Source organism: Homo sapiens, chromosome 3 (assembly GCF_000001405.40).
Source record: "Homo sapiens chromosome 3, GRCh38.p14 Primary Assembly".
Classification (NCBI taxonomy): domain Eukaryota; kingdom Metazoa; phylum Chordata; class Mammalia; order Primates; family Hominidae; genus Homo; species Homo sapiens.
This window is the reverse complement of record NC_000003.12, coordinates 72,188,197-72,202,714: the sequence shown is the minus strand read 5'-3', so window position 1 is coordinate 72,202,714 and position 14,518 is coordinate 72,188,197. Positions and strand designations below refer to the sequence as shown.

Sequence of the window (14,518 nt, the reverse complement as noted above, 5' to 3'; positions counted from 1 at the left end):
GGTCATGCTTGATACCTTCTATTTGACCCTGCAGATGAATCTCAAACCTTATGCTGAGCGAAAGAATCTAGACACAAAAGCAGACATATTATGGCATTCCATATAGAAAACTCTAGAAAACACAAATTCAATCTAAATGACAGAAAGCAGATCAGGAGTTTCCCAGGGACAGGGGTGGAGGGAATTATCTGGAATGAGACACAAGGGAACTTTCTGGGGTAACAGAAATGTTCCATGTCTTAATTGTGGTCATGGCTATACAGGGGTATAAACTAACCAAACTAATTGAAATGTACAGTTAGAATGGGTGCATTTTATAGTTTATAAACTATATATAAACTACATATAAACACCTCAATAAATTTGATATCATAAAAAATCAACATATATATTCAATATGATAGATTTTTTTCCTCCACAAAATTCTACTACTAAATTTGCAGTATGCATTCCCACAATTGGTGCATTAGAACAGAGGAAATGAGGCTATGCAAATAAAGCCACTACAGCCCACAGAACGAGTGTTGTTGTCAATGAGAAGAAGACTTGTCTGGGCTGAAGGCAGGGGATCTTTGGGAGGTCTCTTAGCAGGCACTTCTACTTCAATTAAAAAAACCCATTGGAAGCTGGGCTCTGGCAGCGGCTTTAGGGTCCATGGGCTTAAAGTGGAGCTGTGTAAGTAGCTGGGCATGGATGGAGGGTGGGTGGGTGCAAATCCACTTTCCCCGCAGGTAGATGGTGTAGGGTCCTGAGAGACTGAGTGAGGATGGTGCTGAGGCAACTGACCATGTTCATGTGATTTTGTGGACCAACTGTCCCCACTGCTGAGTTTTAGAAATTACTGGGAATCCAGTGAACGATAACAAAATCAGTTTTGTGCACGTCACAGGATGGATTTGGATTCATTACCTGAGTATTAAAAGAACACTAACCAGGCACTGTGGTTCATGCCTATAATCCCACAGCTCAAGTGGGAGGATTGCTTGAGGCCAGGAGTTCTAGACCAGCCTGAGCAACATAGCAAGAACCCCCTCTACGAAAGATTTTTTAAAAGTTAGCAAGGCATGGTGGTGCAGACTTGTAGTCCTAGCTATGTAGGAGGCTGAGGAAGGAGGACTGCTTGAGCCCAGGAGTTCGAAGGTGCAGCTGAGCTACGATAACACCACTGTACTCCAGCCTGGTCTCACAGAGTGAGGATCCAGCTCTAAAATAAAAATAAAAATGTTTTGGCCAGGTGTGGTGGCTCATGTCTATAATTCCAGCACTTTGGAAGGCAGGAGAAGCACTTGAGGCCAGGAGTTTGAAACCAGCCTGGGCAACATAGTGAGATTCTGTCTCTAAAAAAAAAAAAAAAAAAAAAAAAAATTGGTTTAAAAAGAAAACTAATCAATTTTGGCCTCTGTCCTGATGAAGCAAGGTATATTGGTTACAATAAAATTTTGGATTGAGTCACTGAGCATGGTATGGCCCGTGGCGGGAAATTCACTCAACCTTAGAGACCTAAGTCATGTGCTGCCACAGACAAGGTTGTGCTACAGTTACTAGTGTTAAGGGGAACCAGGGAGAAACTAGAGTATGGGGTTATGGTGTTAAGAAGTATGAAATGACCCCCAGATTATGGCCACAGGGGAGGTCACAGCAGAGAGCTCTTTTGCACTTTCTCTCTCTCTCACCTTTTCTCCCCTTTCTCCTTTCTTCTGGTAAGCAAGATATTGGTTATCTAATCTTGTATGCCAAGCTATCCCCAAATTTGTCAGCTTAAAAACAACACACATTTACTACGTTACAGTTGCTGTGGGCTAGGAATCTGGTCATGGTTTGGTTGGGTCCTCCAGCCCAGGGTGTCTTATACATTGTAATCAAGATGCTGGCTTAGGGACTGTGGTCTCATCTGATGGCACAGCTGGGGTAGGATCCACCTCCAAGTCACTCAGTGATTTTTGGTAGAACCCCTCCTGAGTTATTAGACTAAGCACCTTAGTTCCTCACTGGCTGTTGGTCAGAGGCTTCCCTTGGTTCATTGCCAGGGAGCCCTCTCCATCAGGGCAAAAAGACAAGAAAAGTCAGAAAGAGAATGTCAGAGAGAAGTCCCAGCTTTTGCAATCTGATTTCGGAAATGGCATCTCATCATGTTTGCTTCATTCTATTTGCTAGAAGCAAGTCCCTTGGTCCACACTCAAGGGTCAAAGATTACTCCTGACATGAATAACACTGCCAAGGATATGAATAACAGGAGGTAGGGTCATTAGGGTGTGAAAGGAAAATAAATCTTGGGGCCCCAAAGTCACAAAGCTAAAGGGAAAAGTCAAGCTGGGATCTGCTTAGGGCAAACATGCCTCCCATGCTATTCAAAGTCATCCCTCTGCTCAGTAGATCATATCTGATTGTCTCCTTTGGAAAGGCTAGGCAGAAACTCAAAAGAATGCAACCATTTGTCTCTTATCTACCTATGACCTGGAAGCCCTTCCCCACTTTGAGTTGTCCCACCTTTGCTTTGAGTTGTCCCACCTTTCTGGACCAAACCAATGTTCATCTTACATATATTGATTGATGTCTCCTGTCTCCCTAAAATTGATAAACCCAGGCTGTGCTTGGACCACCTTGGACACATGTCATCAGGACCTCCTGAGGCTGTGTCACAGGAGCCCGTTCTTAACTTTGGCAAAATAAACTTCCTAACTTGACTGAGACCTGCCTCAGACATTCAGGGCTCACGAGGGACCATTGCAGAAGGCTGGCTACCACAGGCAACAAACATTTATCAACCTCTACTCTGTGCCAGGCTCTTGCTGAAATACTAATTTAGAGATGAATGAGAGGGAGTTTCTGGCCTCAGAAGTAATCCAATCTAGACGAGAAGTTGATCAAGTGAGCAAGCAATTAAGACACAGGGTGGTAGTGTTGTGAATTAACATGTGCATCTGAGTAAAGCAGAGCAGACTTTGACTCTGGAGCCAGGTTATTCCCCTTGTTGCTGTGGGGCGTTCGCCAAGTGATCTATTGCTGAAAAAGCCACAGGCACTGCTAACAGTACTGTGGTTTATTGCCTAGATTCAAAATGGAAGGCAGTGCTAAATGTCAGGTAAATGTTAAGGAAAAGGAAGATATAATTTGTATTTCCACCAAAGTTCACAGACCTCCTGAATTCTGTGCATGGACCATGTACAACAGGTGAAGACCTTGTTTTCAGCACCAGTCACAGTAGTAAGAACTGCACCCCACTCACCACCAGACACAGGGGCAGCTTTTCCCACTGGACCACTATTTGGGCTATCCCCAAAGACCTTTACAGAAGAGAGAAGAGCAGGCCAAAGAGTCAAACAGGTGGGGATTGACTCCTGGTCCAATTATTTTGTGGTCGTCTGATCTTGTTCAAGTCACTTCACCTCTCTGAGCTTCAATTTCTTCATAGCTGTTAAATACAGTCTATAAACATATGGAGTTATAAGCAATAGAGTGCCATCTGTCAAGTGTCTAGTAGGTAGGAAATGATAGCTATACATTTTTAAAATTATTACTCATTATCTAAATTCGAGGTGCCCAACTTTCAAGAACTGTCAAACCATGTTTCCTCTGTGAAAGCATCCCAGACCATTCCAATTCACATCTCAACTCCCTCCTTTGGAATTTGCCTCTTATTAATCTAGATTGGCACTTGGATGCCAACTTGTGAGTGTAATTATATGTCCCATAGTGTTTGCTGCATTGTATTTGTTAGAAGCAAGTCCCTAGGTTCACACTCAAGGGACACGAACAAATAGCTGCCCTCATTTTTTGAGAGCTTAAAAATATCCAGGGAAGGTGCCAGGTGTTTTACATACCTTAACCCATTTAAACAAGCCCTGGTATATTTCTTTTTATCCTCAGAGTAACCTTTTAAAGCAGGTAACACTAGGCACAGTGGCTCACACCTATAATCACAGCACTTTAGGAGGCCGAGTTAGGAAGATCACTAGAGCTTAGGAGTTCAAGATCAGCTTGGGCAACATAGCAAGACCTCATCTCTACTAAAACTCAACAATAAAAATTAGCTGGGCATGGTGGCATGCAACTGTAGTCCCAGCTACTTGGGAGGCTGAGGCCGGAGGATAACTTGAGCCTTGGAGGTTGAGTGACCAAGCCACTGCACTCCAGCCTGGGTGACAGAGCGAGACCCTGTCTCCAAAAAAAAAAAAAAAAAAAAAAAAAAGCCATATAGTAATATTATCCCATTTTGCAGTTGAGGAAACTGAGGCTCAGATAGATGCAGTAAGTTGCCCAAGTTTACAAAGCTAATGGCGTGGATGACAGGAATCTAACACAGGGAAGTCTGACATTGGATTCCCTCAGAACAGGAACCATGACTTATTTCCAATTTTTGTTTTATTGTTGTTTCCCATCAGCATATCGCACAGTTCCTGGTATATAGTGGCCAACCGTCCATGCCTGTTTGCTGGGGAACAACTGGGGAGGAAGAATGGAAGCAGTATGGCAGTGCAGAAAGTTCTAGGGTGAAGAGAGAGCCCTGGTTCTTGTTGCAGCTTTGGGACCACCAGTTGAGTTTGTCCTGGGTGTGTTCCTTTGTCCCTTTGGTGAAGGGTCTCTCAGCCTCTCACAATGGCTAAGTGCCTAGTCCCTAGAGTTAGCAGCCTGGATTCCAGTCCCCAGCTCATACACATTGTGTGACTTTGGACAGATCCAAGTGAAACCTCAGTGTCCCAGCATGTAAAATGGGCAGAGTATTTCCCCCACCTTCCAGGGATGTTGGGAGAATAAAATGAAAGCAGGCACATCTATGATGTGGCACTCAGGGCCTGGCTGGCAGGCAGTAGGTGCACCATAAAGCAAGCTATTGCTGCGGCTGCTGGAGTGGTTTGTGATGCTTATGATAATTACTGTGATGGCGGGAGTGATGCTCTCCTGACGGTTTGGTAGACAGCCAGACAGAAGACATCATGGCAGGAGATTAGAGCACTTGGCAAAAAGGAGGGAAGAAGTGAGGCTCTGTACCCTGGCTCCTCTGAGTGGACAACACAGCCCCTGGGCCCCTTCAAACCAGTGGGTCACCAGCTCCAGGGCTCAGATTACTTTTCCCTAAAACCACAAGGATAGGCTAGAAAATAAGAGTTTCAGTTAATTAGCTTTTTGTTATGTCTACATTATATTTGGCAGCCAATTGGATTTTTTTTTTCATGGATTTGACCACATAACATAATTTGGGAGGGGGATCTTGAAAGCCTGAATCGCAACGACAGCAGAGTAGAGCTGGAGACAGATACATCTTTGCGTTAGACAAATTTGCCCGTGAGTCCTGCCTCTATGATGTACCCGCTGGGGGAATCGGGGCATGCTACTTACCAATATTGAGCCTCAGTTTCCTCACCCAGAAAACAGGGAACACTGGTTCTCACTTCCCTGGGTTGCAATGAGATTATGCATACAGTCGGGGCATAATAATAAACTTTCAATAAATGGGAGCTATGCATATTGTAGTTAACAACAATAATAAATAGTGTAGCTTTGTCTTGGGTATATAGTGCCTATTCTAGAAACAATTAAACAAATTTACCTCTTGGCTTGCCAGCAAGCACATAAGCACAGTCCAAGAGTAGGAACAGAAGATATTTTCATGATGTAACATATTCTGCTGTAAAAGATATATTTTGGCCCTTCATCTGACCAGCCTTGTTATTAAAATTATAAGGTTAGTGATGCAAACCACATAATTAATCTCTTCCTATGAAAAGGTTCAAATAATATAATCCGAGCATGAAGATGTTTGAAATGGTATCATTTTATCATCCAAATTAGCTTTGCATGAGTTCCTTGCAGAAACCCAAAGAAAAAAGCTCCCTTTATTCATGCCAGAGAAACCAGTAAAAAACATTTAAAATGTCTCTAAATGTCAAACAAAGCTCCATTGTGAATGGAAAACAGTATGGGCAATAAATAAATGTTATCCAAATCTCATAAAAACCATAAAGGTAACTGGCAGAAATACCGAAATGGTCATTCACTCATAAATAAATATATGGCCATCTTAAACATCCTGGCATATCCTGTTTAGTTGATTCATGGCCATTCGCTGAAGACAAGGATTCCTGCCTTAGAAGATTTAACACCCTGCACTGTATGTCATTGTCTTGTTAACAGTTCTAGGGGTGGGATGAGCTCTGGTTAACGGGTCTTGCTGACACCAGTGTTTAGTTAGAGGATTGGCTGACGATGCTCAGAACTGTGTGAAGATGACCGCCCTCTCTGTGTGTTTTGCTCATGCTCCTGAGGAAACCTCATTGCCATAGGGAAGAAAATGCCCAGCAAAGCAATACCTAGAAAGTGCAGAAATCATGATTCGGGGACTAGCCCTCCAAACTTGGATTCCATGGCTAACTGCATCACCACATCCAGATTTTGTTAGCACTCATACAATGAGTTCTTGTGAGTACTTGAAAGCTCAACGATCCATCTTGGTTTCCTCCTTACTGGATCTCTCTGGCTGCCTGTTCACCCTCTGGGGTTAGGCCACTCCAGAGGGCAAATGTCTATGGCTTCATAAATGGGTTTGCACCTACACAACATCTCTGATCGATTGGTGGTCTCTGCCTGGAGTGCTATGTGGGAAAGACTTCTGCTGCCTTGTCTGGGCTCAGTGGGGAAGAGGGCTGTGATTGATTAATGCTGTCTGCCACAGATACAGGACTGGAGAGTAGTGAGATGCATGCCATGTATTTGTAATCCCTGGCTACTGGATGATCTGATGATGTGTTTCAGGTATGGCAGGAGAGTGTGGTGTGGTCTGCCAGCCAGCCTCCAATTTTTTCCTGTTCCGTAGTGCAGGGTAGAGATTGACATAGGTGGTTGGGAGACTTGGGGTCATACAGGAGCCCATTTAAGTGTTAGATAGAGGTGCTATTCCCTATTCTTCTCTAAGGTTCTGTGAAGATTCAGCTACCAGGTCCACTATGGCTACTGCTCTGAAATCTCAAGCTTATTTTTCTAGCTTGTTTTCCCTGCAAATTTCACATTAATGGCCACCGAGGAGCAGTAAGATGATGTGATGGTTAATATTGAGTGTCAACTTGATTAGACTGAAGGATGCAAAGTCTTAATCCTGGGTATGTCTGTGAGGGTGTTGCCAAAGGAGATTAACATTTGAGTCAATGGGCTGGGGAAGGCAGACCCACCCTTAATCTGGATGGGCACCATCTAATCAGCTGCCAGCGAATATAATGCAGGCAGAAAAACGTGAAAAGGTTAGACTGGCCTAGCCTCTCAGCCCACATCTTTCTCCCTGCTGGATGCTTCCTGTCCCTGAACATCAGACTCCAAGTTCTTCAGTCTGGGGACTCGGACTGGCTCTCCTTACTCCTCAGCCTGCAGATGACCTATTGTGGACCTTGTGATCATGTGAGTTAACATTTAATAAACTCATATATATATATATATTCCATTAGTTCTGCCCCTCTAGAGAATGCTAATACAGATGGCAAGGTCAATTTCAAGAATTTGGACTTGAATTTAGTGACTTTGAAGATTCCAGAAGGTGAGTGAGGGAGAGTTACAATGAAGTCAGGCATTTCACTAATTGTTTCATTGATTGATTGATTGATTGAGACAAGGTCTTACTCTGTCACCCAGGCTAGAGTGCAGTGGTGCCATCACAGCTCACTGCAGCTTCAACCTCTCAACCTTCTGGGCTTAAGCGATCCTCCCACTTCAGCCTCCCGAGTAGCTGGGGACTACAGGTGCATGCCACCATGCCTGGCTAATTTTTGTATTTTTTGTAGAGGTGGGGTTTTGCCATGTTGGCAAGGCTGGTCTTGAACTCCTGACCTCAAGTGATCCACCCGTCTTGGCCACCCAAACTGCTGGGATTATAGGCGTGAGCCACCGTGCTCAGCCCTTATTTACCCATTTTTAAGAACTCTACGAGTTAGATTTTATCCACCTCCATATTCTAGAAACAGGAGCTCAGAAAGGTTGAGTTACATCCCTAGATCACACAGCTGGTAGCAGGTGCTAGCTGTGGGAGTCAAACCTAAGTCTGCCTAGGTCTGTGTGACCTCCAGATCTGGGCTGTCTCCTTTCTGAGTCACCCACCACTACATTAAACTGGTCTTGGGGAATAGGGGCCAAGGACATCCAAGTCCTGAGGCTGAAGAAGTTTGTAATAGATGCTGATTTCTTTGCCTCCCAGTCTGGCCTGGCCCCGGGAACTGGCTTATCCTGCCTCGCTCAAGGCAGATGCATCTTCCCCTTCCTACATTCTCGACAGAGTGATTTCCAGGGGATGGCGTGAAGGCCGTGTTACGCAAAAGGCACCATTTTAGAACTCTAATAAATAGCTATTCAATTCAGTCAGCCAAATTAGGGAAGAATCACTCTAAGAATATCTGCTCCCTGCTGAGCTGATTTGAGTGTGACTGACTATCTTGCTTCATGGAAACCAGGCTGAGCAAAGGGAGGAGTTGCCGAGAAAGTTGAGGATTCTCCTTCTAAAGAGGCCTCAGGGATTAAATTAGTCACTTCTGAGGTCTCCTGTCGGACGAGTGATAGAATTTCATCGACTTGTCACTGGAGCCAGCAGAACATGATGTGCTAGATATCTTCCCACTGTTCCCCTGCAGAGAGAAAGAGCGAAGAAAAGATTCATGCTTTATACCCTTAGGAGACTGGGGAGGGTAGGGGCAGCCCTCTCAGCCACTGTTTCCTTTCTTCTGGGAGTTGTGACAGGCAGTGTAACTATTGTCAGTAAACTCTCCAACAGAGGCACTGCGGCTCCTCGGCTTGCGCATGTTGGAGAGAGGGGAAAGCCACAATGTGTTCCCCGCCCCGTATCTTTGTATTCCTTAAGACAGCCTCACTGCTAGAACAAAACAACCCCTCATCTCAGGGGCTTACTGTAATCATGGCTTATTTCTCACTAAGGTCACAGCCCAATGCTGGTCAGCATGGTAGGGATCAAAATGGAGATCTGCTCCACTCAGTTACTCAGGGACCCAGGCTTCTTCTCTGTTAGGGTTCTACCATCTTTTAGGGCCACAGAGTCCTTCCTGGGACTGTGTTCCAGATGAGGGAAGAAAAAGTGAAGTGTCACACAGGAGTTTTTTCAGGGACCAGGCCCTGAAGGGCTGTCCATCTCTGCTGCTCACATTCCACTGGCCACACCTCAGTCACATGGTCCCATCTAACTGCAGGAAATATGGTCTAGCTGTGTCCCCAGGTGGAAAAAGAGTGAAATTTGGGGAACTTATAGCATTTATCTGTTTCAACCTCCACCTAAAATGGCCAAGTCCCTATGCTGAGAAAATAAACAAGACAATGACAATAATAACAACAACAAAAGAGACAGCACCAGCCCAGACATCCATGCTCATCTATTCTTGAATGTGGCAACTTTCCAACTCTAGAATCTGGGTCCTTGCTTCTTAAAATGAGTACAAAGCTGAGGGATACACAGAACCATCAGGTAAAACATAAGACACCATGTAGTTGTGTCAATTTTATCTGAAATTTTAAGGAATTTTAAAATATTGAATTTTAGCTTTCTTGAAAGATTTAGGCATATGTGTATCCAATGAACCCAAGGGAAGTCAGGGGATTCCTGAAAGTCCTAGGCTCATTGTCTTACGTGTTTATGGCTTCCCTTATGGACATTTAGGAAAATGTCAAGGAGACTGAAATATTTGACTAAAGTTGTGTCTTTACCATCCTTTCCTCAGATTTAAGTCACGGGCATTCCAAACTAAATGGGGGAAGGTAAGTTGTGAGTCTACCCAAGACCTAATGATATTAGCAATTAATTTCCCAACCAACTATGAGTCAGGTATTTTGCTAAGGGCTTGCATGTGTTCTGGTTATCTATTGCTAAATAGCAAACTCTCCTAAAAGTTAGTGGCTAAAACAACCATTTTATTCTATCTTATGATTTTGTGAGCCAGGAATTCAGGCAGGGCTCAGCAGGGTGATTCTTGTGCTCTACAAGGGATCAACCGAGGTTGTTTGGTGGTGTTAAACTGACAGGCTAGTTTGATGGATTCACGATGGCTCTACTCAAATATCTGGCACTTTGGCACAGAAGGCCAGAAGACTGGAGTCAGCTGGATCCCTCTCTCGCTTATGTGGCAGCTCATGGCTCCAAGAACAAGTGTTCTAAGGTTCTAAGAGGTTCTAAGAGGGCTAGACTAAAGCTGCAAGGCTTCTATGACCGAGCCTCAGAAGCCCCAGTGCATTACTTCTGCCACATTCTGTTGGTCAAGTGGGTCACTAAAGCCAGCTCAGATTCCAGGGGAGGAGAATTAGACTCACTTTCAATGGGAAAAGTGACAAAGAATTTGCAGGCATCTCATTTAATCTTCACATGGCAGACATTACTTTTATTCCCATTTTACAGTCAAATAAACCTTATTTACTTGGTTACTGATTCACAGAACCTCAAAATCAACATGCTACCTACAGTTAGTACTTTCAAAAGCTTAATCTAAATGACTACTGAATAGAAGAACCTATTTATAAAAACTTTCTTATCCCAGTTAGTAACTTAGAACTTAAAATGATGGTACTAATATTCATAATAGCTAACTTTTTGAAAACTTACTGTCTTCCCCTTACCTTCAATTCTCAGAACAATCCTGTATGCTTGTGTGGTAGAATGTATTATTGTTCAAAACACTGGCATCTTCTCCATGTGAGAGAATTATACTTTCTATCCCATGGCTTTAGTCTTGCTGTGTGACAAGTTTTGGGCTATAAAGCATGGGTAGAGTTGATGTGTGCCACTTCCAAGCAGAAGCTTTAACAATCATTGTGTGGTTCTGCCAGGATCTCTTTTTCTCTGCCATGAGATTGACAGTATCCCAAATACAGACTTCTATGTCAATCTGCATTACAGGATGAAGATCACATGGAATTGAGCCACAGCCAACAGTGGACATGTGTCTCTAATAAGCAATGAACTTTTGTTGTTGCCAAGCCACTGAGATTTTAACGTTGTTTGTTACTGCAGCATAACTTAGTCCAAGCTGACTGGTACTATTAGTTTTTCCATTATATAGATGATGTTGAAACAAGTACAGAATAGTTAAATAATTTGTCCACAGTCTAGCACTTAACTCTAGGCTGTTTGATTCCAGAGCCCTTGATCTTAACTTCCAATCTTCTATATAACTGATGAAAATAAAGACTCAGGCCAAAATGGCCACATGCTTGAATTGTGTATTTAGGTACCTAATACACAGATTGTATAATCTTTAGCTCACTGACAACAGCTTGTGTGCCAAAGGCACGCCTGACTTTTGAGACAGGGCTACTGAGATGTCGCAAGGCCTGGAAATGCAGCTCAATAACTTACTTCATCACAAGAGGGGGAAAAACTGTATAAATATTTTTTGAGCATCCTACAGTATTTCATAATTTTATGAGGTTGACATCGCTTGGGATGATTTAGCCTTTCCTGGCCTGACATGTTTCTCTGCTATTTTCTTTCTAAGTAACAAGAAAAGAAGGAGAAAGTGAAATAGAGGCATGGCTATTCCATGAATTACAAGGTGTCAAAATATTATCTAGGGATTTCTTCTTTCTCAGAGTTGTGCAAAGAATTGCACACTTCTTAGCCTCTGGCTTTGCTGGACAACAGTGGTATAAAAAGGAGAGGGAATGTCACAGTGATTAGGATGAGAGGACTGCATCTGGACAAGTGTCACAGTGGTTAGGATGAGGGGACTGTAGCCGGGCATGGTGGCGGGCACCTGTAATCCCAGCTACTCGGGAGGCTGAGGCAGGAGAATGGCGTGAACCCAGGAGGTGGAGCTAGCAGTGAGCCGAGATTGCACCACTGCACTCCAGCCGGGGCAACAGAGTGAGACTCCGTCTCAAAAAAAAAAACACAAAAAAAAAAGGATGAGGGGAGGGGACTGCATCTGGACTTGGAGTACTCTGGCAAGTCACCTAAGTGCTGGATTTTGGAATCCATGCTGTTCTGGGTGCCTCCTTGGCTTGAAGTATTTCCCTTTGCCTCCTACTGATATGTAGTATATAATATAAAATGATTTGGGCTGCAAACAACATAAGATTCAACTTGAAGAGGTTTTAAGACAAAGAACTTCTATTAGTTGGCATAACCAGAATCCTAGAAGTAGGGCAGTTCTAGAGTTGGTTAATTTAGTGGCTCAATGACATCATTGAAGACCCAGGTTCTTTCTATCTTTTTGTTCTGTTGTCCTCAGAGCATGGACTTATCTTCTTAGGCTGGTTCCCCTCATGGTCCCAAGATGGCCACTGTAGTTGCATGTGTGGAAAGCAACATCTGCTTGTGAACAAGGGAACTTGCTCCTCATATGTTGTCTTAACACCAGTTCCTTGAAATGGAAATTTGTGTGCAGGGAGGTTGTTGGAGAATGTTCTTAGGAACAACAGCTGTTAGGGAGTGAGAGAGGCAAGGCTGGCCAAAATGAGGAGTTGAGCTACGATGCGGCTGCAACAGAGGCCTCAGCTGAACTCATAGGGCCCTCTGGAGCTGGAATGGAGCTTCAGAGTTTCCAAAACCGTGGCAAGAGGCTGGACCTTTGTACCTCTGCATTGACTAGTCACTGGATGTGTGCTGACGCTGAGTAGGTGGTGGTGGGGTGACCTCAGATAAAGCACTCATGGCAGGTACGGGGAAAGTGCTTGTCTTGAAAGAGGATCTGGGTTGTACAGCTAGCATCCACTACTCGTGCCTCTTAGGAGCTCAAGGGTCACAATAAAGAAGGCTCTTTTTAGGTGTTTCCCATATGGCCTCTCATGTCCCCCGGGCCAGCAGTGCATCTCATATCCATTTCTAAATCACATATTGGCAGAGGCAATGGCATTATCATGGTTGATTTGCACTGAAAAAGAGTCACTCTCTGTGGATAGCTCAGCTTCTCCTGAAGAATGCAGCTGCTCTGAAGGAGGTGAACAAAATCAAGGTATGTTAAGAAAGAAGATGGTGGGTGGGATGGGTATTCAGTTGGCAGCAGGATCTGGTCCATGCAGGGACTATGTCATCCTGAGTATTTGTCTGATCTATTGGTGCTGAATGCAGTAGAGGAAATCCCAGATAAGAAGTGCCTAGAAATGTCTATGTCTTTCAATGCTTACCGGAAGAGCATATAATGAGAAGATAAAGAACTACCGCCCACAGTAAGCCTCCAGCTGTAGTAGTAGTGGCAATATGAGAAGAAAGCCTTCTCTCTTTCATATATGCTGAATTCGAAATGGTTCTTGTAGAGTTTGGCTGGTGGCCCCATTGTCCTGGCTCCAGTGGGGTCCAGATGGCCCTTAAGCATCAGTAAATCTCTTTGTGTGCAGACATGTTTGGCTCCTTATGTCACCCTACATCTTAGTTTGAGCTCCTCCTAGCACAGACTTTGAGACAAGGATTCAAATATAAGCAGTGTAGTTGGAGATGGAGGTAGGGAAGTGAGGCTATGACCTAGGAAAGGACTGGCTGTAGGGTTACCCGGTAAAATACAGGAAGCCTGTTAAATTAGAAAGTCACACAATGAATAATTTTTTAACATAAGCATGTCCTATGCAATATTTTTCAGACAAATAAAGAATACATTTTTTAGTATGTGACCCAAATATTGCCTGGAGCATACTTACACTACCAAAAATATCAGTTTTATGTGAAATTCAAAGTTAACTGGGGATCCTGTAATTTTTATTTGTGAAATCTGACAATCCAAGATAACAGCCAATAATGAGTATGTGATTGAGTCAGCTGCTACTGAAGGTGACATAGTTACTGTGGCCTCTGGGAACCAGTGTAGAGTACATGCAGAGTTATTGGGCCCAGGAGGCAAGGGAGCCGGGATGTTTCACACCTACTCTGCCAATCTTTGGTTGAAAGTTTGGGTAGGGGCAGGGTGCTGGTTCTCTGGTGGTGATCTCTCAGCTCTTCTGAATTTCCCTGAGCACAGACAGAGATGACTTCCTTGTGTGACTTCTGAGAAAGCCCTCAAGCAAAGAGACAGAAGTCCTAACAGTTGACAGTCAGCTGATGCCCTCTGAAGTAGTAAGACTCAAGGATATGGGCAAGGCACCTACATGCCCTAGGGCCTCACTTACAGAACAGATGTCCCAGTGCTAGAAACTGTTAGAAGCACAGTCTTCGGTGTCAATAGATCTGGGTTGGAATCTTGATTCTACCATTGAATATCTGAGCTTGGACACACATTAATTAACTTCTTGGCCCCTTTTCCTCATCAGTAAAATGGGTCTAATGATACATACCCCATCAGATTATTGTGAAGATTAAAAGTAAAAAAGTAAAGGCCAGGTGCAGTGGCTCACATCTGTAATCCTAGCACTTTGGGAGGCCGAGGCAGGCGGATCATTTGAGGTCACGAGTTTGAGACCAGCCTGGCCAACATGACAAAACCTCATCTCTACTAATAATACAAAAAATTAGCAGGGCGTAGTGGTTCATGCCTGTAATCTCAGCTACTTGGGAGGTTGAGGCACGAGAATTGCTTGAACCTGGGAGGTCGAGGTTGCGGTCAGCCGAGATGGCGTC

General features: G+C 44.0%; 2 annotated features.

Annotated features, from left to right (window-relative positions):
* Positions 5,866-6,434: an enhancer, noted in NCBI's record as "OCT4-NANOG hESC enhancer chr3:72245432-72246000 (GRCh37/hg19 assembly coordinates)". NCBI's record gives its function as "activates a minimal SCP1, AML or CMV promoter by ChIP-STARR-seq in naive H9 embryonic stem cells {active_cell/tissue: H9 hESC(naive)}" and the evidence as "EXISTENCE:reporter gene assay evidence [ECO:0000049][PMID:30033119]".
* Positions 8,367-9,059: an enhancer, noted in NCBI's record as "NANOG hESC enhancer chr3:72242807-72243499 (GRCh37/hg19 assembly coordinates)". NCBI's record gives its function as "activates a minimal SCP1, AML or CMV promoter by ChIP-STARR-seq in naive H9 embryonic stem cells {active_cell/tissue: H9 hESC(naive)}" and the evidence as "EXISTENCE:reporter gene assay evidence [ECO:0000049][PMID:30033119]".